This window comes from Homo sapiens, chromosome 19, assembly GCF_000001405.40.
Source record: "Homo sapiens chromosome 19, GRCh38.p14 Primary Assembly".
NCBI classification, from domain to species: Eukaryota; Metazoa; Chordata; class Mammalia; order Primates; family Hominidae; genus Homo; species Homo sapiens.
This window is the reverse complement of record NC_000019.10, coordinates 33,792,723-33,816,297: the sequence shown is the minus strand read 5'-3', so window position 1 is coordinate 33,816,297 and position 23,575 is coordinate 33,792,723. Positions and strand designations below refer to the sequence as shown.

General features: G+C 55.3%; 1 protein-coding gene across 19 annotated transcripts, besides 3 other annotated features; it reads right to left on the bottom strand.

Annotated features, from left to right (window-relative positions):
• Positions 1 to 536: 536 nt before the first annotated feature.
• Positions 537 to 22,258, bottom strand: KCTD15 (potassium channel tetramerization domain containing 15). 19 transcript variants are annotated; one of them, XM_047439395.1, is made up of 9 exons: positions 20,195 to 20,295; positions 19,773 to 19,869; positions 17,908 to 18,034; positions 17,532 to 17,630; positions 15,778 to 15,870; positions 14,956 to 15,131; positions 9,291 to 9,435; positions 4,746 to 5,051; positions 537 to 3,508 (listed from the first exon to the last, which is right to left on the bottom strand). In XM_047439395.1, the coding sequence occupies exons 5-9, from the start codon at positions 15,841 to 15,843 to the stop codon at positions 3,350 to 3,352; spliced, it is 852 nt and encodes a 283-aa protein (XP_047295351.1). In that variant the 5' UTR covers positions 15,844 to 15,870; positions 17,532 to 17,630; positions 17,908 to 18,034; positions 19,773 to 19,869; positions 20,195 to 20,295; the 3' UTR covers positions 537 to 3,349. The 19 variants fall into 19 exon arrangements, with proteins under 19 accessions (XP_047295351.1, XP_047295355.1, XP_047295350.1 ...); XM_047439399.1 differs by lacking the exon at positions 20,195 to 20,295 and having other exon boundaries at positions 19,773 to 20,066; XM_047439394.1 differs by lacking the exons at positions 19,773 to 19,869; positions 20,195 to 20,295 and adding an exon at positions 19,311 to 19,428 and having other exon boundaries at positions 17,532 to 17,627.
• Positions 15,547 to 16,315: an enhancer, noted in NCBI's record as "H3K4me1 hESC enhancer chr19:34290888-34291656 (GRCh37/hg19 assembly coordinates)". NCBI's record gives its function as "activates a minimal SCP1, AML or CMV promoter by ChIP-STARR-seq in primed H9 embryonic stem cells {active_cell/tissue: H9 hESC(primed)}" and the evidence as "EXISTENCE:reporter gene assay evidence [ECO:0000049][PMID:30033119]".
• Positions 20,730 to 20,849: a silencer, noted in NCBI's record as "silent region_10500". NCBI's record gives its function as "represses an Ori minimal core promoter by ATAC-STARR-seq in GM12878 lymphoblastoid cells {active_cell/tissue: GM12878}" and the evidence as "EXISTENCE:reporter gene assay evidence [ECO:0000049][PMID:35858748]".
• Positions 21,495 to 22,004: an enhancer, noted in NCBI's record as "H3K4me1 hESC enhancer chr19:34285199-34285708 (GRCh37/hg19 assembly coordinates)". NCBI's record gives its function as "activates a minimal SCP1, AML or CMV promoter by ChIP-STARR-seq in primed H9 embryonic stem cells {active_cell/tissue: H9 hESC(primed)}" and the evidence as "EXISTENCE:reporter gene assay evidence [ECO:0000049][PMID:30033119]".
• Positions 22,259 to 23,575: the final 1,317 nt, after the last annotated feature.

The window sequence follows — 23,575 nt, the reverse complement described above, 5'->3', positions numbered from 1 at the left end:
ACATGCCACCATGAGTGGCTTATTTTTAAATTCTTTTGTAGAGATGGGGTCTCACCAAATTGCCCAGGCTCGTTTTGAACTCCTGTGCTGGAGCAATCCACCCGCCTCAGCCTCCCAAAGTGTTGGGATTACAGGCATGAGTCACTGTGACCCGCCCACTTTCCTTCTTTTGAATGTTAGTGGTTTGGTCCACAGATATACATGTATGCAACACCAACGTAGTGCAACATGCTCATCACAGCCTGAACACTTGAGTCCAGGCTTGGGGGTCTGGAGAGGTAAAGGGAGGCCATGCCTGCACCATTTTCCCCGCCAGATCTGCCAACAGCATGTGCACTGAGCGCCTAGAGACAACGCTGCTGCTCTCTGGTCAGTCCTCAAATCAGGAAGCTTTGGGATTTGGGACTTGGGATGTTAAGGTCCTACTCAGTAGCCACACCAGGTCCCAAGTGTGGGGAGTGGTGGTTCCCGAGGACCAATGCTGGAGTACCTGATTGTGGCTGCTTCCGTGAATTACAAACCAAGGGCTAGAGCTGTAATTTATAAAATATCCTTTATTTATTCTAAGGAACAGTCAAGCAGTAGCTTTAAAAAAAAAAAAAAAAAAGACACATTTTTTGAAAGATATTCTTAGTGTTGTGACCTGGCATTGGGCCCCTGTGAGCGGGACGGTGGCTGAGACCGCCTGCTGTGGCTTTGCGAGTTCTCTGCACTCACTGGCAGGGGTTTGGTGGGAAACGGGGAAGCTTTGGCATGGTTCTGTCCAGTTGCTTATAATCAAGAATAATGAGTTTTGAGGTTTACAAAGAGCAGAAGTAACATTTATACGGCTGGCATTTGACAAAAGATTGCTGATAATATACTCATTCCAGGAAGTGTAAAAATGCTTTAAAGGAATGATAATTTGTACTTACTGTTTATGGGGACTAGATATATTAGAATTATAGCATCATTATGGGGACATAGTGTTTCCCTATAAATTCAGAAATTCTCTGGTTGATGTAAAATCATACTTCCTGGTTTTACTTAATTAGTAAAGAAATAAATAAATTAGAGTAACATTTAGTCAGGTAGAGTTACTCCTTTTTCCCCTTCTTTATTAATAAATTTTATTTTTAGCACAATCATTTACCCAAAAAGAGAGTTTGAGAATGTTCGAGAATCTCTACCACTCGGTAACCATGCTGGCTGTTATATCAGAAAAATCCATAAACATACACAGCAGCGAGCTGTTTTCACAAGACTTCCTGCTAATAAACACAACACTTTCTCCTCCACTCAGATGGGAGCCTCAGATGCCAAAACGCAGATGTGCCAACTAACTATAGGCTCGTTGCTAAGCAGAGAAACCTATCAAGTTTGTCCAGCAAATTCGATTGTACAGTGGGATGGCGTCTGCTCTGCGGCCTTGGACAGGGAGCCACTGGTCTGTGCTGCTGTCCCCTGAGGCAGGTCGAAGCTGGTGGCCCTTAGAGGGCAGGTAAAATGGTTCTCATGGGTTAGAACATAAGGGCTTTGAGAAAAAATGCAAAAGGTCTCATTGAAATTGGAGGCCTATGTGAATCTGTTTACATGGAGGCATACTGAGATCTCGTTCTGTGCTTAGGTGAACTGCAGGTCTCACGCTGGCTGCATGACTTGGTGCCCCCTGGCTGGCTGAGCCACTGCCTGCCACCTTCTCATACCATTACGTGGGGGTCTAAAGAGGACATCATCCCCAACCAAAGAATAGTGAGAGAGAAAATCCCAAACATTTGAGACAGGGTTCAAAAGCACCCAGACGCCTTCTGTCTCTTTCCCAGTTCCCATCTGGCTAGGGACTGTGAATCAGAATTCAGAATCTGTGCTGCCCTGAGGGGACAGGCACCCAAATGCAATAAATAACACCAAGCTCAGGACCCAGCCACTGACCTTCCTCCACCACTGCTGCGGGTTATTCCTCGATGGGAACTGAAGGATCCAAGGGAGGAATCCGTTCCGCCCCCAAACCTCCCTGCACAACATCGAATGCGGGAGTCTGGCTGCTGCTTCTGCACAGGACAGAGCCTCCAGTCTTTTGCTTGAGAGCATCATTTATGGCATGGACTGGGAACGCAATGTGTTCACACAAATGCACGACAATTGTACATCAGCATCTTTACAATATTAAAGGAGCCATATACAAGTCTACAGCCATTGTACACAGGATGGTGATGGCTGGGGAGCCCCGCCCACCAGTCCTCTGCAGTTTCTCCACCGGAGAACACTTGGGGAGCTGTCACAAGGCCAGGGGGGGTCCATCTTTGGGCCTGTCGTGGGGGAGGCAGCAGGTCTGCAAGGACTCCTCAGGGCCAGTCCTCACTGGAATCAGGGGTCAAGAGCGCCAGGTCTGCCTGTGTCTGGGTCTCATCGGCAGGCTAGTGTAACAACGTGAATTAAAACTGTGCATATTCGCATGAGAAAACTGGAGCTGGGGATGGCTCCCTGAGCTGGGGACCTAGAAGACGCTGCTGACAGATGGGCCCCTTCATGGTGGGGCCCATTCCTGAGGTAACGTGCAGCCCTGAGGCTGGTCCGAACGGGAGGAGACTTCTCCAGCAGCCCAGGTGCCAGTCCACACAGACAGGACTGGAAGCCCCTGGGCAGCAGGTCAGGTGACCCGGGGAGTGCAGCCTGAGCCCCCAACGGCAGCAAACGTGAAGGTCTCAGGTGGTTACAGAATCACTCAGCCCTCAGGCCCCCACCACTCTCCTCCCAGCAGCCCTGCAGCACACATCCCTGCATCTGTCCCGAGAGCCCCAGCCCTGCAGGCATCTGGGCCTGAATGCCAGGCAGCTGGTCCACCCTGCAGCCATGCTGCACGTCTGACTGAGAACTGAGCACCAGATAAAGAAGCATTGGTCCTTGTCAGCCTCTCTGACTTTTGCAGTTAGGGCTGCATCCATTTTAAATACTGTAGAAAATAAGCCATCTCTCGGACGCTAGGAGACCCGCCAGAGTCTGCCCCGCGTGGAGAGGGATAAACAGCTCCTCTGAAGTAGCTGCAGACGGCTCTTCCAACCCCGCCCCAACAGGCCCCGGGGCCTCAGAGGATGCTGCGCCAGGCTGCGAAGCTGAGGGGCTGGGAGAGCTGGCAGCAGAGATCCCACCGCTGTATCTTTGGGTCGCATCAACAGTCCTTCTGCAGGCATGCCTCCAGCATCCCACGTTCTGTTGCCATGACACCTGGGACCCTGGTGCTCGCTGGGCCAGCTTTGGACCCTCCAGCCTCACCCTCGGTCTCATGCCCACGGCCAAGTATACACAGGCAGAACTCCCCAGCACTGTTTCCAGGTCCCTGGGGGGGCCCAGGTGGGCACTGAAGCAGGGCCTAGTCCAGGGGTTCCTGCTTGATTCGAACAGCAGTGGGGGTGGGCTGCGGCCGCCGCTCCTCCCGGCAAAGCACATACTCGCTGAACTGGGAGGAGTCCACACCGCCCCCACAGGACGCAGCCACGCTGAAACCCCTCTGGAACAGCCGCTCCAGGACCTGCCCAGGAAGAAACAGAGGTCATCAAGGCCAAGCTGCAAGAGGACACCTGGCTTGGCCTGGCAGGGAGGTGGGTGCCTGCTGGGGCAGCCAGCAAGGGCACCTTCTCCTGTGACGATCTCAGTCTTGCTCACTGACAAAGGTCCCTACAGAACCACGTGCTGGGTTCCACCACCAGAGGGACAGAAGTGGCCAGGCCCAGTGACCCCTCAGGTTAGCAAACCTAGTTGGACGACCCCACCCAGGCCACCATCCTGCTGCCCTCAGGGCCTTGATTCCGGGAGGCAAAAAGAGGCTTTGGGTCCCTTCTTTATTCTGTAGGGTGTAACCTATGCCCTCTCTCCAGACACATGGCCCCAAGTGTCCTCCCTGAGTCCTGCCCCAATAATGGAGAGTTCCCTGTCCTTCAGCCTCTAGGCATCCACCAGCTTCCCTGAGCTGTGCATTCCAGGTGGTTTGAAGCCTGGGGGTGCATCAGCTCGTGGGAGCTCTGGAGGGAGAGAAAAAGGAGAAGTCCTCTCAATATTTGAGTCTCTGCAGGCGTCCACAACTATGTGGGTTTGTGCCTCTGTGAGGGTGAGGTCTGATGACTGCGTGTAACACCCGTCTCCTGCAACTAGCAAGTTCTGACCGACAGGCTGTGGAATGCGTGCACAGGGGGCCCTCTTCCCTGCAAAGCCCATTCCACCCTAACCCGGAAATGTGCCAAGCTCTTGGGTCTGCGAAGAGCTGTTGGAAAATAGGCCCTCACTCCATCTGAGCTGTCCAATTCTTGGACCCATCCAGGAAGAGCCGGTCCAGGGATTCTCTTGGCAGCTGGTGGGTGCCTGCGACTCCCAGGTCAGCAGGGAGAGGGAAGGGGCTCCAGACCACCTTTCCACTCAGCCTCTGTCCTGCCTCGCCTGTTGCCTGGGTTTAGTTCGAATCCAAAGTCAGACTCTGGGTGTCAAATGAAGCACGCTTTGTTGAAAATACTCTGGGCCATTTTTATAGAACATCCTTTTGGAAAAAAAAAAAAAAAGTACAGATCGATTTTTTTAAGTCCATCCCCCAGGCGCCATCATTTAATTATGAGAGGGACATAAATTATGCATCGACACATTGTTGCCTTTTTTGTAGGATGGCACGGGGGGCTTCACCGTTTCAGGGATCGCGCCTCCCTCCAGCTCACTCTGCCCCTGGAGGGCTCCGCGGACGCCGGGGGTGCGGCGGGGAGGGGGCAGCGTGCAGCCCTCACCTGTACCGAGTTGAGCCGGCAGTAGCCATTGAGCGGGAAGCGGATGACGTGCGTGGGGTCCTGGTTCCAGCCGGCGTTGACGGAGTTGCACATGACGTCTCCGGTCTCGGGGAAGACCTCCTCGATGAGGGCCTTCTCGCCGCTGAGTGCGATCCGCTCGCCCAAGTCGGGCGTGACGCGCACCACCAGGCAGTCACAGGCCCGGCTGCGGCGCCGCTGCTCCTGCTCCTGCTGCCAGCGCTCCAGCTCGCGCACCATGGGCTGGAGCTGATAGTAGCGCGCCTCCTCGTACAGCAGACTGAAGTCCTGGGGACAGGCGCACAGGGTGTTGATGTGGGTGTCGGAGTAGGGGTGGTGGGGGAAGGGGGAGAGGGGAGGCGGCCTGCCGGTTCCAACCAATTCTGCAGGAACTGCGACTCGCAGGGTATTGTGTGGACTGGGCCGGTTGCACCCATTGTACAGATGGGGCAACTGAGTGGTTTGCAAGTATAAAGAACCTAGCCTTGTCCCAAGGGCAGCCGCTGATGTGCACCTGTGCCAGCCCCCCTGAGCCCTTCCATCTGGCCCCAGGCACTGGGCAGTGAAGCCTCCCCATGGAAAGACCTGGAAGCTCCACTAAAGGACGAGGCTGTGCCTATGCCTGGGGACCTGCTGCTGCCTTAGAATCCCACCGAGAGAAGAGATCATGCTGGGCACAGGGCAGCCGGGCCTAGGAGCTCACAGCCTACCCGGAAGCAAAAAAAGTTCTTCTCCAGCCAAGCCTGCCTGGGTCAGATTTTCAGCTTCATCATCAACCTGCCCTGAGACCTCTAAACCTCTATACCTCACTAACTGAGCCTCTTGGTTTTTTTTTCGTTTTTTTTTGTTTTTTTTTTTTGTTTTTGTTTTTTGAGACAGACTCTCTCTGTCACCCAGGCTGGAGTGCAGTGGCTCGATTTTGGCTCACAGCAAACTCCACAATTCTCGTGCCTCAGCCTCCCGAGTAGCTGGGACTACAGGTGCCTGCCACCACACCCGGCTAACTTTTATGTTTTTAGTAGAGATGGGGTTTTCCCATGTTGGCCAGGCTGGTCTTGAACTCCTGCCCTCATGTGATCCACCTGCCTCGGCCTCCCAAGGCGTGAGCCACTGCGCCCGGCCTCAGTTCCCTTATGTATAAAATGGACATAAACAACCAGCTCAGAGAATGAAAGTGAGGATCAAAGGATGCAAGATGTGCCAAGTGCCTGGTCCAGCCCCTGCCCAAACAGGCAGAGTGTGATAAAGTGTCCAGGGAGGGGAAGCCCGCCCCCTGCCACGCAGCCCCCTTCTGGGCTAAGCAGCCTCGCACAGACTGTCCCTCAGGCGCTGATACTGGCCCCATGCCCTGGGCCACATATGCACACTATACACGCTCACACACACCCACCCCACTGGGAATGGCCAAGGTCCCATAGGTCCCCATGACTCATGCCTGAGGAAGAGGCAAGGAAGCCCAGCCCCCTGACCTACAGGCCCTAAGTCCCTTCCACCTGCTGGCCGCCTGGAGGGAGGCCTAGATTCTAACCCTGACCTCTGGGCCTGTCATGGGTCAGTGGCCCATCCTGCCTCTCCTGCCCCATGCAAGGGCTCCTCAGGGCTCTATCCTGGGCCTCTGCTCTCTCCACTCTCACTTGCTCCTGAGATTTTTATTTTATTTTCTTTAGACAGGGTCTCATTCTGTAGCCCAGACTGGAGTGCAGTGATGTGATCATAGCTCACTGCAGCCTTGAACTCCCAGGCTCAAGGGATCCTCCTGACTCAGCCTCCCGAGCAGCTGAGACTACAGGCATGAGCCATCATGCCAGGATAATAATAATAATAACAATAATAATTATTTGTAGACACAAGGTCCAGGCTGGTCTGGAATTCCTGGGATCAAATGATCCTCCTGCTTGGCCTCCCAAAGCACTGGGATTACAGGTGTGAGCCACCTCTCCTGGCCATTCTCCTGAGATTTTAAATGACAACTGCATGACAGACAACCCCATCTTTTGTCATGGCCCAGGATTTCTCCATCTGATGCCCCACCAGCTCTCCCATGCAGGGGCAGAAACCCCACTCCCACAGCCTGGTCCACCCCGGGCCTCAACTTACCAACTCAGAATTCAAGCCACAAGTCCCGGGGCACCTGCAAGAGGCCCTTTACACTACCACAGCCACGTGCTTTTGCAGCTTGCTTGCTTGTTTATTTATTTACTTATGAAAAGTAAATAAATTACTCTTAAAAAACTTTAAAAGTAAAGTTTATTTATTTACTTATGAAACCTTGCTCTGTTGCCCAGGCTGGAGTGCAGTGGTGTGACCTCAGCTCACTGCAACATCCACCTCCTGGGTTCAAGCAATTCTCCTGTCTCAGTCTCCCGAGTAGCTGGGACTACAGGTGCACACCACCACGCCCGGCTCATTTTTGTATTTTTAAGAGAGATGGGGTTTCACCATATTGGTCAGGCTGGTCTCGAACTCCTGACCTCAGGTGATCCACCTAAATCGGCCTCCCAAAGCGCTAGAATTACAGGTGTGAGCCACCGCACCCGGCCTTTTTTAATTAAAAAACAAATTTGTATAGACAGCATCTTGCTATGTTGTCCAGGCTGGTCTTGAACTCCAGGCCTCAAAGGATCCTCCCCATTCGGCCTCCCAAAGTGCTGGGATGACCAAGTGAGCCACTGTGCCTGTACTAAACAGAAGTCTGATGTGCCACCTTGCTCCATCTTCTCTATCTCCATCCTGGTCCATCCAAAGCCTCCACCCAGCCTCCCTTGGCCTGGGGAAGGGGCCTCATCCATAATTGCCTCACTGCACCCACCCCCACCCCTCTCTGCCTTCTTCCCCACCCAACAGCCAGAGAGATCTTCCCAATTTGCAGATCTGACTGCCCTTCCCCTGCACACACCCCTTCCACTGCATTCAGAGTTAAATGCCAGGCACTGGGCCACCCACCAAGGTCCTGACATCAAACAGCAGCCTCCTTTCCTGACCTTCCCCTCCCAGTCCATAAAGCTCCAGGCTTGACACCTTCTTTCCAGTTCTGGAATGCATCAAGCCATCTGCCACCCCCATCCCCTGCACCAAGGCCCTCACACCTGTTTGGCCCCGTTCTGCCTTCACCACCCAGATGAACATCATTTCTTTCAAACCCGCCCAGCCCAGGTCACATGGACTTCAAGTTCAGTATCTGTCTGCCCGCTAGACTGTTAAGTGTTGTGGGGCAGGTCCTAGTGTGTGTGTTTCACTGTTTTCAGCCTGAATTCAGAGGCTGGCACTCAGTAACTGAGCTGGATGAAAGACAAGGCCCCAGGGCTACTGGTCCTCTGGATAGAGGAAGGAATGAAGGAAGGAAGGACAGACATTTGCTAGTATTAATACATGCCAGTGTACCCCAGGCCTGAGTTTCCTTCCTCCCAGAGTCCCTGACATGTGGGAGGGGCTCAGCACTGAGGCATGACCCAGGGAACCAGGTCACCTGCCCTGACGGGCTCACCCGGAGACCTGGGGGTTAACCTTTTGTTTAAAGGGTATCTGTTTGGTCATCAGGGCTTTTCTCCCTGCAAATTGCCCAACACAGAACAGATTTTTTTTTTTTTTTGAGACAGAGTCTTGCTCCGTCATCCAGGCTGGAGTGCAGTGACGTGATCTCGGCTCACTGCAACCTCCGCCTCCACCTCCTGGGTTCAAGAGATTCTCCTGCCTCAGCTTCCCAAGTGGCTGGTATTACAGGCACCTGTCACCATGCCCGGCTAATTTTTGCATTTTTCTTTTTATACTTTATTTTTTGAAGTCTAATTACAGCCGTCCTTTTCTTTCTCTTTTTTGAGACGGAGTCTTGCTCTGTCGCCCAGGCTAGAGTGCAGTGGCGCAATCTCGGCCCACTGTAACCTCTGCCTCCTGGGTTCAAGTGGTTCTCCTGTCTCAGCCTCCCGAGTAGCTGGGATTACAGGCCTGCCACCACGCCTGGCTAATTTTTCTATTTTTAGCAGAGACGGTGTTTCACCATCTTGGCCAGGCTGGTCTCAAACTCCTGACCTGGTGATCCACCCGCCTCGGCCTCCCAAAGTGCTGGGATTACAGGCGTGAGCCACCGCTCCAGGCCTAATTTTTGCATTTTCAGTAGAGATGGGGTTTCATCAAGTTGGCCAAGTTGGTCTTGAACTCCTGACCTCAAGTGATCCACCCACCTTGGCCTCCCAAAGTGCTGGGATTACAGGCATGAACCACTGCACCCAGCCGATGGAACAGATTTATGAACCTCTAACTACTATAACGCTGGCACGCGCCCATCCTTAAACACGACAAATGTTCAGCTGGGATACGTTCTGCAGCTTGATTGTTGTTATATACCCTGATAAATAAGCTAAAAATGTGAGAAAACAAAATTAGTTTAGAAAAACTGATTTAGCCCTCGGCTTCATCGTTTAACTTTTTATGGTTACCATGACAACCAGGGGTCCACTTATTAAGTCACAGCGTCCCCTGTGTAATGCCATCACACAGGCAGTGCAGGGGGGCCACCAGCCATGGACTTACCTTAAAGTCATCCGGAAGCAGCAGCTTGGACGTCCGCAGGAAGCTCAGGACGTAGCGGAAAATCTCCCCATCCCGGTCAATGAAATAATGTTGCTTCAAACTGTCCAGGACGATGGGTTCAGTGCCATTGAAGAGGCGGCTTATCCTGGGAGAGACAGGCGAGGTGGGATGTCTGAAGGGATGGGGACAAGTCTGCCTGTCTTCCCACACCCCGCCCCCACTCCTGAGGGCCCACACGGCTGGAGGGGCGAGGGACCTGACATGGGTGACTCTGGAACTGTTCCAGGCCTGACAACATCTGCACACACCTGGGGCAGCCAGGCTACAGTTAACAGGACACACCACACATCCTGCCTACACCCGCAAGTCACAGCCAGAGAGGGACACACCCAGCTGTACACACCAGCCTGCCAACACACGTTATGTTACAGGCCTGGAAAGGTATAGCAAGACACAGGCACCTTACCCCCTACACACAAACCAGCTGGTCACAGGCCTGGTGCACACACCCTTGCCAGATAGACCCACCCAGAAAATGCACATGAACCATCCAACACCCCGGCCAACAGCCACACACCCAGTAAACGAGCCAGGACATACATCCTCCCCACCCAACCCATGTAAACGAGTGTGAGACACACAGGCCTGTGCAACAGGCACAGGGTCACATGGTCCCTTCCTTCCCAACACACACATATCATGCAGATCCAGACACATCCAGGAAAGGACACACACCTGTCAACACCAGGCACCCAGAGACATGACGGCACAAATCCCCTACTGCCGCTCACTCAGGGAGCCCACAGGGAGAAACAGAGGCAGACAGGAGGGATGGCAAGTGTGCCACAGCACACACATGCAACAGGGCCCTTGCACACATGCCACAACACAGGCATACACACACGCACACAGAAACCATGCACACACATGCACCACAGTGCATACATATGTGCACACATGCCAGAGCGTATGCACACCACACCTAGTGGTGGCGGATGGGGACTGGAGAGAAGGCAGGTGCCGGTACCCTGTCCTCTGAAGGGCAATGGTTCTAACAAATGCAAGACCAGGAGAAGGGTCTTGGGGAGCCCCTGATGCCTGTCCCTGTCCACTCCGGGGAGAAGGAGCCAGGCCTCAGAGCCAGGGCTGATACCACCTCCCCAGTGCCCAGGGTGGCCAGCTCTGGTTTGGCAACTGCCCTGGCAGACCCCAGGTCGAGCTAGGGATAACTAGGAACCCTAAAGAGGGGTGGGAGTAGCCAAGGGCTTGGTTTGGGAACAGGAGGGAAGTTGGCATCATTTCCCCAAGGGCAGCACCACCACATCCTTCAGCAGGCAGGGCCACACTCCTGCCCAGCTGGACCCTGCCAAGGTGGCAGCTTCTCTGCACAGCTGGGAGAACAGTAGCTCCAACTTGGGACCTAGGCTTCCCAGCCCGGCCTGCACACAATCTGGAGCCTAAGCCCCTCACTCTCTGCCTGCACCAGCAGGGACCCCTGCAGGGATGCCCCCTGTTCTAACAGCAGCCCACTCCTCTGTCCACTCCAAGTCAGCCGTCTCCAGGGCCCTGCCCCACTGCCACTTGCACCCAGGACACACTAGCTGGGCAGGAGCTGAGGGAGTCAGAGCCCCCAAGTCTGCCCTCAGGGCCTCCCGTCCACACCATCCTATGCTCTGATGGCCCAGCACACTCAATGCATCAGCCATGATGGTCTGCCCGGGTATGGAGTCTCTGGGAACACGGTGCAGGTTTCTCTCCTAGCAGGGTAGTATAAAGGGCACGGTTTAGCTGGGCACCGTGGCTCACACCTGTAATCCCAGCACTTTGGGAAGCTAAGGTGGAGGACTGCTTGAGGCCAGGGGTTCGAGACCAGCCTAGGCAACGCAGCAAGACCCCATCTCTACAAAAAATTTAAAAATTAGCTGGGTATGGTGGCATGCACTTGTAGTCCACTTGGGAGGCTGAGGTGGGAGGATCACTTGAGTCCATGCGTTTGAGGTTGCAATGAGCCGAGATCACACCACGTACTCCAGCCTGGCCAAGAAAGACAAACGCTGTCGCTTAAAAGAAAGAAAGAAAAGGGCAAGGCTGTCTCGTGGATGGGCATGGGGAGGTCAGAGTCTGCTGTGAGCCCGAGTCTGTGGACCCAGAGCTGCAGCCACCCAGATACAACTCATCTCAGAGCTCCAAAGGCCGATGAGCCCTGTCAACCCCCTAGGCCTGGTGACAATGGCACTGCAGGTCACAGCCCCTGCTGGAAAGGCTGTGGGTTCCACGGCTGGCTCCAGTTACAAAGGCCCTAGGACCTGGCCTAGTAGAGCGTGGGCATCCAGATGTCAGAGTGAGGGCCACCCAGCATTCCTGGAGACAGATGGGTCTGTCCCAGGCTGCCAGATACCATGGGCAGTGGTTGGCAGGTGGCTGAGGTCCATGTGTGGCACCGGTGGGAAGTAAGAGCTACATCCAAGGTGAGTCAGCAGATCCAAACCCTCAGCCTCCTGGGAACTCTCCCCACCCTTCCCAGTGGAGCTCCAAAGTCCATGTAAGCAGGCAGCATTCTAGGCCTGGCTGAGTTCCCAACCCTTCTGACGTCAGGTCTGGCTGAGGCTCTAGCTGGTCCTGTTGGTCTAGAAGACTCCTGATGCACCCACATTCCAGGGCTGGATGGGTTCTAGGTTGTCTCATCGGTCCAAGTTTAGAAGGTTTTCCATCTGCCTTATTTCAGGACAGGCTGATTCTAGATCTTTCCATGGTTCAGTATAGGCTCCTGGATCAAGCGGCAGCTGTACCGCCTCTCCCAGGACAGAGGCCTTTCATGCCCTCAGCGTCTGAGGCTGCCAAGGACGTGAGCAGGTTGAGGAAAGGTGAGGATAATCACCATGGAGGAGCCCTCAGCCATTCTCAGCCCTGCAGGTATGAGTTCCCAGCTCTGTCAGGGGCTCCACGTTCCCTGTGGAAAATGGCCCAGGCCACCCTCTGAGAGAGGATGCAGGGTTTGAGGGGCCGGCTTCCGAAGTCCTCCATGGAATGAGGTGGCCAGTTCACGCTGCAGCAGGTGGGACCCTCAGGGGCAGAAAAGATGCCTCCAACCACCTGCCCTGTGTGCACAAGGGGGAGCATCAGGATGGCCTTCGTCTTCTCGTTTATTTCCTTTTTTTTTTTAAGCTCTGGCTCCAATTTCCTGGCTGTTTCAGGCACCAGGTTTTAAGAGTTCTGAAGCTCCTGGCCATCTTCATTTGATGCTTCCCATAGTCAGGATGGATGTCAGAGTGTGGCTGTGATGGCGGCAGCTAACGGGGGTCAAGCAGGCAGGACACCAGCAAGGGGGCCGGCCCAGGGAATCCACTCCCAGCCCCGGCTGTGCTTGGCTGTCTCGGGTGAGGACCAGTGACTGCTCCTAGGCAGACCAGAGGAGTCACCCAGCACGAGACTCTCCAGCACCCAGGCCACCCCAACCGCCGAGACCCAGAGGCTCAGGCAGAGTTCTCAGGGGAGCCGAGGGTAGAGGTCCCAGCTTTTACAATGCTGCCTAGGGCAGGTCATCTTCACCATCCAGAAACCCCCTGAGGACCACAGCACTCTTAGTCCTCCATCTCCAGGTGTCTCCTAGATCAGTGACACTAGGTGAGATTGATTTTTTCCAGAATTGGTAGAAAACTGCTTATATTATAATAATCCACTACAGGAAGGACAAGAGAGATCTGAGGGGCTCTTGCCAGCACAGCTGCCTGACCCACTTCTCAGGCCCCCTGGCCTCCTGTCCCCTGATTGTCCTGCAGGTCAGCCATCCCTGGCCTCTAGTCCAAAGCTTCAGGCCTACAGAGCACCCCCACAGCAGCCAGAGGCCATCCAGGCAGAACAACAGATTCACCTTGAGCCCCAGCCCTGGGGAAGAATAAACATAGACTGCCACCCCTTGGGCACACCAGGAGGGTCCCAAGTGCCAGATCACAGGGCCACAGGGGCCCTAGCTCCCCATGAGAGCACATCCCACAGCAGAACAAAGCAATGGGTGAGCAGCACAGTGGGGCTGGGTGGGGGGAGATGGCCCCCTGCCCTCCTGCTCTCAGGCAGCAGCCAAGAGCCCAGAATGAGAAGCCTCTCCCACCCGCCTCCCCCAGGGCCTGGGCTGTGATTACTCCAGACAGGCAACTCTCTGATTTCAGGAAACTCTTCAGAGAGGGTTGTGGGCAAAGGTTTTATGAATTTCACTCACAAACGTCGTCAACCGATTAAGGGATGATCTATCTCAAACAACTCAGAAATGCCGCAGAAGGCAAAATGGAAATTAAATAAGCAGAATCTATCTCCCATCCTAGACAGGGCTCTGTGAGTGAGCACACAGGCCAACACTGCTGACCTGGCCCCGTGGCTCTTGTCCCCACCCCACAAGCCCCAAGGCCACAGGGCCCCAGGCTGAGTCTCTGTCCACCTGGGGTACTGGAACACCAGTCACCATCTGTACCCTAGACTCTCCAAATTTGGAACTAGACACTGCACCCATTTCCAGTTTTTCCTCCTCAAGGGACCATGCCTGCACCTGCACAGGCTCCCCTGCAGCCCCAACAGGCTTGGAAAGCCACCTCTGCGCACTACCATCCTCCCTGCTCTGAGGAACCACACCGGTGACAATGCAGCCTGCCGTGTATGCTCCCCAGAGATGATCCCTCAGTATCTGGGGGATTAATTAACTCCTCCTGTTATTTCAAATGCATAACACAGGGGTGATGCCCACAGCCTTGGCCCTCCCACGCTCAGCCTTCAGCAGCCCCAGGGGAGCGATGACCGCCTCTCTGTGCCAGGAGCAAACATCCTCGGCTGAGCAAGCTGCTCAAGACCCACCCTACTCGGGTCAGCCCTGCTGCCGTGCCAACGGGGAAAGCAGGTCCCTCACCCAGGAGAGAAACACCCTGCAAGGAAGAGCAGGAGAGCTGGCAGCACCCAGCACCCCAAACCTCTCGCAGGCCCAAGGGCCTGGGCAGCCTATAAGTTCAGCAGCATGGAGGGTGCCTGTGAGCCCCCAACCAGGGTCCTGGCCAGAGACCCTTTATCCACTGATGAGGTATGTGATTCATTCCTAGCTAGTCACTGCAGCACCAGCTCCAAGGGAAGCCTGCTGCTAGCCTCTAGGGCCCAGCAGTGGCCACGGAAAATGACAAAGATGGCACACTGCAGCTCACCACAGCTCCTCTTCCCTCCCCTTGTGAATTTCCCAGGGGTGGAATAGAAAATAGGATTAAATACCCACCCCCATGCCCCCAAGACTTACCTACTCAGTATCACTCACAAATGACCCCCTGCAGGGGCCGGGCCTAAGTCTCCCTCCAGAGGAACCTTGAAGGTACGTGAGACTCCCCTGCCCGCTGCCGGCAGGCTCAGGCTGGGCTGGCTCTGAATAAGCCCTAGTCCCCTGCAGGTGGGTCAGGAGCTCCACCTTGCACTACCAATGCCGCCAAGTCAGGGTCACAAGCCTCTGTGCATAGCAGCTTTCAACAGGCAGACTTGGACTCCCCAACCCTAGCTCCCTCAGGCTGTGTCAGCTTGTGCACCCTGGAGACCCTGGTGGGTGGAGTGACAGTGGGGAGAGACCCCACCCCCTAGGCAGCAGATTACAGATGCTGCCCTGACCCACACATGCCTGATGTTTCAAGGGGCTTACTCTTACCTGGAGTCAGGGTACTTGGTGAGCGTGGCCAGGCTGCTGGTGTACATGTGGCCGCCCACATCGATGTGCACAGGTGCATTGGACTTGGTGAGCTGGGCTGGCAGGGGGATGCCCTGGGCAGCCAGGGGAGACACAGGCGACCGGGTGAGAGACAGCCGGGACATGTTTCCTCCCTCCTAGAGATGGAAACAAAGCGGAACACAAGAGTTTCAAAGCGGAACACAAGAGTTTCTCCACAACACAGCCATGCACTCCCTTTATTGAGAGTGTGATCACAGATCTAATCAGATCACTTCTGCCCGTGCCTGATCATATATTCAGCTGACAAATTATGGCCACCACTGTAATTAAGTGTATTTGCATCATTTTCTTCAAAGTACCAGAGGGAAAAAGAAAGATGCTTATTAGCAATAAGAAATCAAGAAAAAAAATTTTTCAAGGTGTCAGCCTCCAGGGGCATAAAACAAACTGCAAAATTCTAATTAAAGGTCGTGGGCTTATGTGTTAGATGTGAAATATCCCCTGACAAACGAATCACCAATTTGTGAATTGGGATTCAGGGGTTTTTTGCAAGTTTGTCTCAGTAACGAGACACCTCTAAATTAGTGACTTCCTCAGCACCTAAGGCGTTGAGTTTTATACATGTAGTAAATTTCACATCAAATTAAGAGCATTTTTGTTTCAAAAATACATAATCCTACAGCCAGTCAACAGCCACCTGGAGTGTCATGGTCCCAAGGAAGGACAGCCAGTAAACAGGCACTGGGGAAGAAGGGAAAGAGGGAACTCCCGGCAGGGACCCAGCCCACCCTGCAGGCTCACCGCGGTGCCGGTGCTGCCGTGTGTGTGAAGCGAGGACCCGCTCGGCCGCTCCTTGCGGTGAGGCATCTAGGCTTCCATCCCTGCCCAGAGTATCTGCGGGAGGCATCGACAAAACCAGAGAAGGCTTATTCCTCCTAGTCATGTACCATGGGGTCAAAGACACTTAGAATTGTCCTTTCTGCATGCTCTCTGAGACCCTGCGAGGTCCATGCAGCCCTCCCTGATTGACTCCACCGCCACTATCTCTCTATCTGTCTCCACACCCCAAAGCAGGCCTCCAGGCTGTAGCAGATGACACACACATACATGCACACACACACAGTCACACTCACACATGTGTTTTCTGGGCAGCTCCATGTCTGCTAATTCGGCTAATGACAGCACTGAAACATATGCTCACCATTATTGCCCCAAAATATTTCAGAACAAACCAGATTTTCCTGGTATTTTCCTTTCAAGCCATGTTACCAAGCGTGTCTCCTCTTGCAACAGCCTTGTGGACCAAGGCTCAGAAAGCACCCCTCACCCTCCATGGGCCAGGGAACCTAGGACCTCTCTTAATACCATCCCCATGGTGATAAGATACAGCTTGCATCTGGCCAGACACAGGGAAGCCGTTCAGCAGAAGTCCAGGCACATGGATGAGGGCAAGTCACTTGGGAAGCCGCCTCTTCTCTGTGGCTCCCAATAGCAGAGAAAACCTGTCTTTGTTTGCCTAGTCTGTACCTCACAGTTTCTCCCCAGACTCCCAGAGTGGTGTTGTCTATGCCTAATGCATTCCAGACCCCTCAGGATCACATACCCCCGAGGCATCAGGAGATGGCCAGGTGGCCAGGAGGAAGCACAGAGCAAGCAGATCAGCCAATGGACCCTTTCTACTGCTCCTCCCCAGAGGCACTCAGTAACTCTCCTCTGTGCCGTAGTCACCTGAAATAAGATTGTCCCTCAGTCCCTGGAAGCCACACCCAGGGGCGCTTTGCAGGCCCTATGCAGGAGGGGCAGAATTCTGCAGCCCCGTTCACTGATTTACAGCTGTCTCAAAAGGGAGGAAAGAGGAGATTTGCACGTGAATAGTCACCCCCCTTCACACATCCACAGACACTGGCTTCCACAAACCTACCCTGGACGTCTCTCGAAGGTTTAACCTTTAAGAGAGAAACCACTTGAAATTCTTGGGACCCATGGGATTGCTTTTTCCCATTAAAACTCTGGGATCAAAATTTGTGCCTTGAAATTCAATATCCAATTTTAATCCAACCAGAATCAAATCCTGCAAATGTAAGCAAGGTTGCTCTCCCTGAGTGCCCGGGCAAGTTTCCTGACATAAAACTGGGGTGGGAGGTTGCAATGGGCAGACAGTGATGTTTAATATATACCCTCACTGGGGCCTGTGGACTCAGAATCCACTGCTTTTGGCATTCCTGAGTTCTACAAGCTTAAAAAAACAAAACCAGGTCACTTAGCTCAAGGAGTTCTGAGAACCAAAACAGACCTCAGGAATGGATTATCCTGCCCTAGGAGGCTCTGCTGGGGGAGGAGTCAGAAGGGAAGACGCGCTGAGGATAAACTGAACAGGAAGGAATTCTGGCTGAAATTCTATCAAAGCGGACTGCAAGATGTTTTCCCCAATACCAGGACACTATTCCAAAGTGACGTGAACACCAAGCCTCCATCACAGAAGCCGCTCCACTCTGTTCTTAGCCCCTTTTCCCTCCCAAGAACAACCTGATGTTCATGGCAAGCCAGAAACTTACCGTTGGAAGCCCCAGGCTTTACGCCTTGCCGTGAATCTCCAAGGTTTCTCCCAACAAGCGCATCCGTGCGGGACCACGACCCTCTTTCCGAGACCACTGCTTAAGTCAGAAGCACAAAAGTGGGTGCAGTGAGAGATACAAGTTCATTCCACCAGCACCAGCATCAAACCCAGCACCCAGCCCCAGTGCGCCCTGGCCCGCCTGTTGCAGGGGCCTCAGCGATAGCGGTCGGGAGGGCCCACAGGTTTCCAAACTGGCCCGGTAGTGACCCGCTTCTCCAGCTGCGGCGGGAGACCCGGGTCCCTGCCCGCCCGCCGCCGAGCCCCGCCCGCCCGAGCAGAGAGAAGTGAGCAGAATGCCACGCTCATTTACACACAAAATGATTTTGTGTCCCATTGCGCTCGCAGTTGTTCGGCTCTCTGGGGGTGATTAAACTGGCTGAGCTGCGGCAGCTTGAGACGATTTCACTAAATCGCTTCTTCTGAAGTCGCTTCTTTGCTAAGCTGTTATTTTAACCATAAAAGGTAAACAGAAGGCGCCTCTCGAGCTCCCCTCGGCTCCGCACTCAGGGCGCTGGCCCGGGGCGAAAGTCCTGGGGGCCTGCACAATTGTCCCAGGGGTGGCCCCGGAGAGGCAGGCGGGCCACCTGGTGCGCGCCAGCCTCCCCACCCCCCCCCTCCCGCCTCCGCCGCGGAGCCAGCCGGCCGGTGTGAACTTAGGGGCGACGGGAGAGGGCTTGGGCCAAGGCTGGAGGCGCCGCGGGGCGGGGTGGCCGCGGCACCCGAAGCGCGGGGCTGGGCTGGGAGGGGTTGCCGCGGAGGCGGGGCGGGGACAAAGTTAAATCAAGAGGCAGACACTTGGAGACCACAGATGGGAAGCTCGCCTAATTAAGGACGTAAAAGCGCTTTTGTTCTCAAAGTTTATTGTTGCCGGGATTAAAAAAAAATTAATTGAAACTAATGCTGTTATTCACTCGTGCAGTTAAATTCCTTCATGCACATTTGAGATACGGAGCGAAAACTTGAAGCTTATCTTTCTGCAGTCGCGGGTGGGGGCCGCCGGAAGACAGAAAGGCGCTGCAGAGGCGGGGGTCCGCCCCCGGGTGTGTTTGCGAGTGTGTGCCGGGTGCGCGCGTCCAGGTCAGGGGGTGCGGGCGGGCAGCGGGGAACCGGATCTGCAGGCGGCGATCCCTCCCATCGCGGCCCCTCTCCCAGCCCCAAACCCTGCGCGCCCGGGACCACCACCAGCGCGACAGCCCCTCCTGCCAGGTTTCGGACTCGTGGGGTGGGCGTCAGAGGACGCACATCTGTCCCACTGGAGACTTTCTCTGATTTTGGGCGCCAAGCCGGGACTTGTGCATCCCGAAGCCCCAGTTGCGTGAGCCCGTTTCTGACCCCGGAAACTCGCCAGCTCTGCAGGGCGCTCGGCCCAGAACAGGGGCCAGAGTGCGGGGACCTCCACAAGCGCGCGCGCGCGCGCGCGCACACACACACACACACACACACACACACACACACACCGCGCGGCAGGAAGCTCCGAGACCGCCCGCGTGGGGAGGGTCCACCCGCGGCCAGGACCAGCCCACGTGGGCAACCCCACTCTTGCACCAGGCCTTTGTGCTGGGCACCCCCGCGCCGCCAGCCCCCGCCGCCCAGCAGAGGGACAAAGCGGCCGCCCCCGCCCAGGTCCAGACCCTGGCCGGGCGACTTTCTCGGTATCGCAGCCACTTCGGGGCAGGGTTGCGCGGCTCTGAGCGGTGGCCGCCCGCGCTGAGCTTACCTCGGAGCCGGCAGATCGGGCTCGGGCGCAGCCCCCGCCCCACGCAGCTGCCGGTCTCGGGCGCCGGGCGCAGCTTCGCCGCCTATGCTCGCTGCGCGGGTCGCTCCGGTCTCGTCCTGGAGTTACTTTCTCTCTCGCCCCCAACCCTCCCCCCACCCACCCCTCCCGCCCCGGCCCCCGCTTCACGCGGCCCCTCGCGGCGCGGCGCGCCGGGGCCTCCCCTCCCCACCCTCCCCTCGCCTCCTCCCCTCTTCGCGGCCGCCGCCTCCGCCGCCGCCGCCTCCTCCTCGCGCCGCTCTCCGGCTGCCCTCCCGCCGCTCCCACCTCCTCTCCTCCCTCCTCTCTCTCCGGCGGCCTCCCTCGATTGCTGGAGAGAAAACCAGCCCCCCACTCCAGCCCCTAGCCAGCGCCTCGCCGCGGCCCAGCCCGGACGTAAAGGGCAGCGATCCGGCCCCAAATTACCCAGCGCGAACGGGCGCGCGCGGCGACTCCTGGCTCGGGGCTCGGCTGCGCCGCGGGGCAGAGGATTAGAGTCGCAATTAGCTCCGCGCGCCCGCGCCTGGCGACAAAAACGCGCCGTTTCCCCTCCTTTCGCCGGGCGATCCCCACCCGCCTCTCCCGAAGCCCGCGCCTTCCCGCCGGGGCCGCGGCCAGGACCCTCCCGGGAGCGGTGCGCCCAGGCCCCAGCGCCCTCCGCGGCCCAGCCCCCCGCCCCCCGCCGGCCGGCCACGCGGCGCCCGGGCCTCCTCCGGGCTCGGGGAGGGGGCGGGGGAGAGGCTGATTTTAATCATTGTCATTTCATCTGATGTAATATTTCCCCGGGCGCTTTCAGCTGGGCATAAATTTTCGGCTCCCAAATAAGTAACACAGGGCACGTTTCTCACATTTCTTGACTCCTCGGTTACAAAGAGGAGAGCAGCCGCCGCCGCGGCGCCCGGGGCTGGGGGCGGGACTTGGGAAGAAACTGGGCTGCCAGTCGGTCGGGGCTGGAGCGGAGCCGGGGGCCAGGCCGCCCCTCCCCCGCTCCCTGGCCGCCCTCCCAGGGTCTCTGCCCCGCTGCCCCTCTCCCGTGACGTCTGCGGACACGCGGTCGGCCGCCGCGGGGGAGGGACGCGCTGGGGCACCGGGCCGACCGCTCGCGGCTAGACGCGCCATTTCCTTTACGCGCGCGGCGCGATGGAGACGGCGGCAGCCAAGACTCCCCGCGGCCGAGGTCCGCGCCCCGGACGCCCCTCCCCAGTCTCCGCTTCGGCCGCCCCTTCCTCCTTTTCTCCCACTCCCACTCCTCCTCCCCTTCCTCTTCCTCCTGTTTCCTTTGCGCCCCGCCCGTGCCTCCTCCTCCTCCTCGGCGACCATTTCCCGGCTCCTAGGAAACGGAGCGCGCGACTGGCCGGCACTGCGCCCCCGCCTGGCTCCAGGGACGCCCGGGCCGGAGACCGGCTGGGACCGCGGGGCGGGTGCGCACGGGCCGGAACGGCGCCTGGGTCCCGACCGCCGGCTCCGGCCGGGCCTGGACGCCCCCTAGCGGCCGCACTCCCGGGGTGGGGGGCGCTCGGGGTCGGCCTGGAGCTGGGGTGAGGGGGACTCGGGGTGCCAGTGGGAGGAAGGTGAAGTGGGGGGGGCTTTCTCCCTCTACTAGAGGACCTCGCGCGCGTGGAGAGAGCGTCCAGACAGCGCTTCCGTAACTTCTTTACGCGGGAATCAGCCGAAACTTTCCTCCTAAGGGAAGGTTTTATTTATTTATTTATTTTCGAGTTCGAACTACAGGAAAAAGGGGGAAATTTTCTCATTAAAGTTACATCCCTGCAGTTAGTTCAATTATTTGATATATGCAGAAGATGTTGTAAATTTATAGATTTAAATAGCTTACAAAGATGCCGCAGGCCCCATCAGTTAATTTCCTTAATTTATGGATTTTGAGCTGCTCCTGGAACAGAAAGAAGCCCTGGAAGTAGGTCAGGGATCTGTGCAGGGGTTGGGAGGGGCTCCCGCGAGGCCCAAGGGCTGCCCACTCTGCTCCCTACGCCCCGGTACCTCCGGGCTTCCAGCTCCCAGCTTCGGCTCAGCAGCGCGCTCTCTGCGCGTTCGGCACGCTGGCCAGGCCCGGCCCGGCCCGAGAGGTCAGCCCAGCTTTGTGGCCGACTGTCCCAAGCACGACATAGGAACAGCAAAGCCCTCCATCAATGCACATCCCACTCAGCATTGAGGGACCAGACACAAATAGAAAGTGAAGCAAGTATTCAAATACTTTGATCTCCTGTATCCACCCTTAAATGCTGGCTAGAATCACAATCGGACGAGGTTGTGTGTGTGGGTGCCCCCAACTTCATGGACAGAAACGTCCTCCCCCGCCCCAGGCCTTTGTGGAGGGTGGAATGAGGGAAGGTGGAGCAGGCTTGTGTTGGAGGATGAGGGACTCACTGAAAATCCGCTTGTCATGGCTCCTGTGGCCCCCAGCGCCCCTCACACCTCTTTTGTCCCTCATCCTAGGTGGCTGCGGTAACGCCTTTGTTTCGTGTTCAATCTGGGTGAATATATACATATAAATTAATACTTGAAAGATTGGTATAAGCGAAACTGTTTTAGGAAGCCACATGGCAATGTGATTAGTATGGGTATTCATGATTTAACATTTATTTTCCCACTAGATGAAGTTTCTAAGATTTGCAAGGTACATGTCAAGGACGGGTGTATAAATGGATTTTTATTTATTCACAACTCCAAGACTAATTGCTTCTCTTTGCCTCAAGGCCATGAGATTGGTTTTAATATGACACTTCAAAAGTATTCATGGAACTACAGAGCTACTAAGTGTCATTGTTTAAGAGACAAATCTCACCATGGTACTGGTGACCCTGAAAATAGGATATTCTACTTTATTTTAAATTCCTACGTGTTTTTTTAAGAGTTTCACTTTATACCAATTATAATAAAAATGTACAATTTAGTGGAAACAAGAACTGGACGACTTTTATTTCCTTAGTACGGCTGGGGACTTTGTTTCTGTATTCCTGAATCCTTTTATTTAAGAGCTGAACTTTATACGTGTCATTAAGAACAGTAAGTTTGGGTCATAATTTATTCTCAAGTGTTTTAAAAGTTCCTAGCTAAATGTCAGCCATCTCTTCCACTGGGAGACTTGGATATGGACAGTGATAGGTATTTAATGATCTGTGGTATATAATGCAATGGTGATGCATTTTTTAATTGAAAGATGTAGAATTTGGACTGAGAACATATTGAAACATCTCGTGGAGTACATCCTGTTTCATTACTGTGGTTCAAGAGATGACATCGGACGTGAGTCCAATCAGAACTTGCTCTATCATTAAGAGTTGACTGGCACTTAAGTCATTACAGTTCATAGTTTAAAAAGCAGATTCAAACCTGTGCTCTCACACAGCGGGGCATTTGCAGGATGTAAAACCCATGGCAAGACCTCAGGTTTCCAGATGTTTCAAGGTGGCTTCCAATGTGATGTTGTTCTTTGTTGCTATTGCTGTTTGCAGGCTATGTTTAAAAATTAGGATCTTAATAAGGAAGGGAAAATGAACCCAAAATGAGATCACAGACTCTGCTGAACCCAACCTTCTCAGCAAGGCTATAATCAGACAAGCAGATGAACAGACTGAGAGACCTGCCTGCTGCTGTCTCCGGGAGGGAGGACTGGGGTTTTAGCACCGGGTTGTCTCTTCCCCCACCCCCAGGCTTCCTGGGGTGCTGGTCAGTCCTTCTTAGATCTGTGCTCACCTCAGGCTCCAGAGATGGCTCCTGTACAGGCTAGGAATAAGCCAGCCTGGACCAGAGCTCACGGTCACACCCACCTGGCCTCCGCCTCTACCCTGGGAATCCCCCCAATCTTCCCTCCTAGTTAGGACCCCAGAGAATCTGGAGACTAAAGGGAGTGACGAAACATGGGACTGTTAGTCCCCTCACCTGTCCCCTCACCCAAATTGCCCTTGCCCAGTCCCTGGCACCACGCTCAGTGGGCACTCAGGACTCCTAGTGGGCAGGAAGGCAGGGGTTGCCTTTCTACCTTCTGCCAACAGCCTGGGTGTGCCATTCTGAACCAAACCAACCCTGCCGGCCCTGGGAGCCAGCACTGGGGTGAGAACGAGACAAGACTAAGACCTCCTGACCAGGAATTTTAACATTTTTGCAGCCTGTGGGGGAGCCAGCAGCCCCCTAAATTGCTCAAAACTGCATTTGAGCCTTTTCCATCAAATTCTCAAATGCTATATGGATTTGGGTGCAAGTAGCAAAGG

What these genes read in the sequence shown, in the direction of transcription:
- KCTD15 (XM_047439392.1), bottom strand. An exon ending in GCCGGCTCAACTCGGTACAG is followed by an intron (nt 3,509 to 4,745) that starts GTGAGGGCTGCA and finishes CTTCCTGGGCAG; the next exon opens with GTCCTGGAGCGGCTGTTCCA.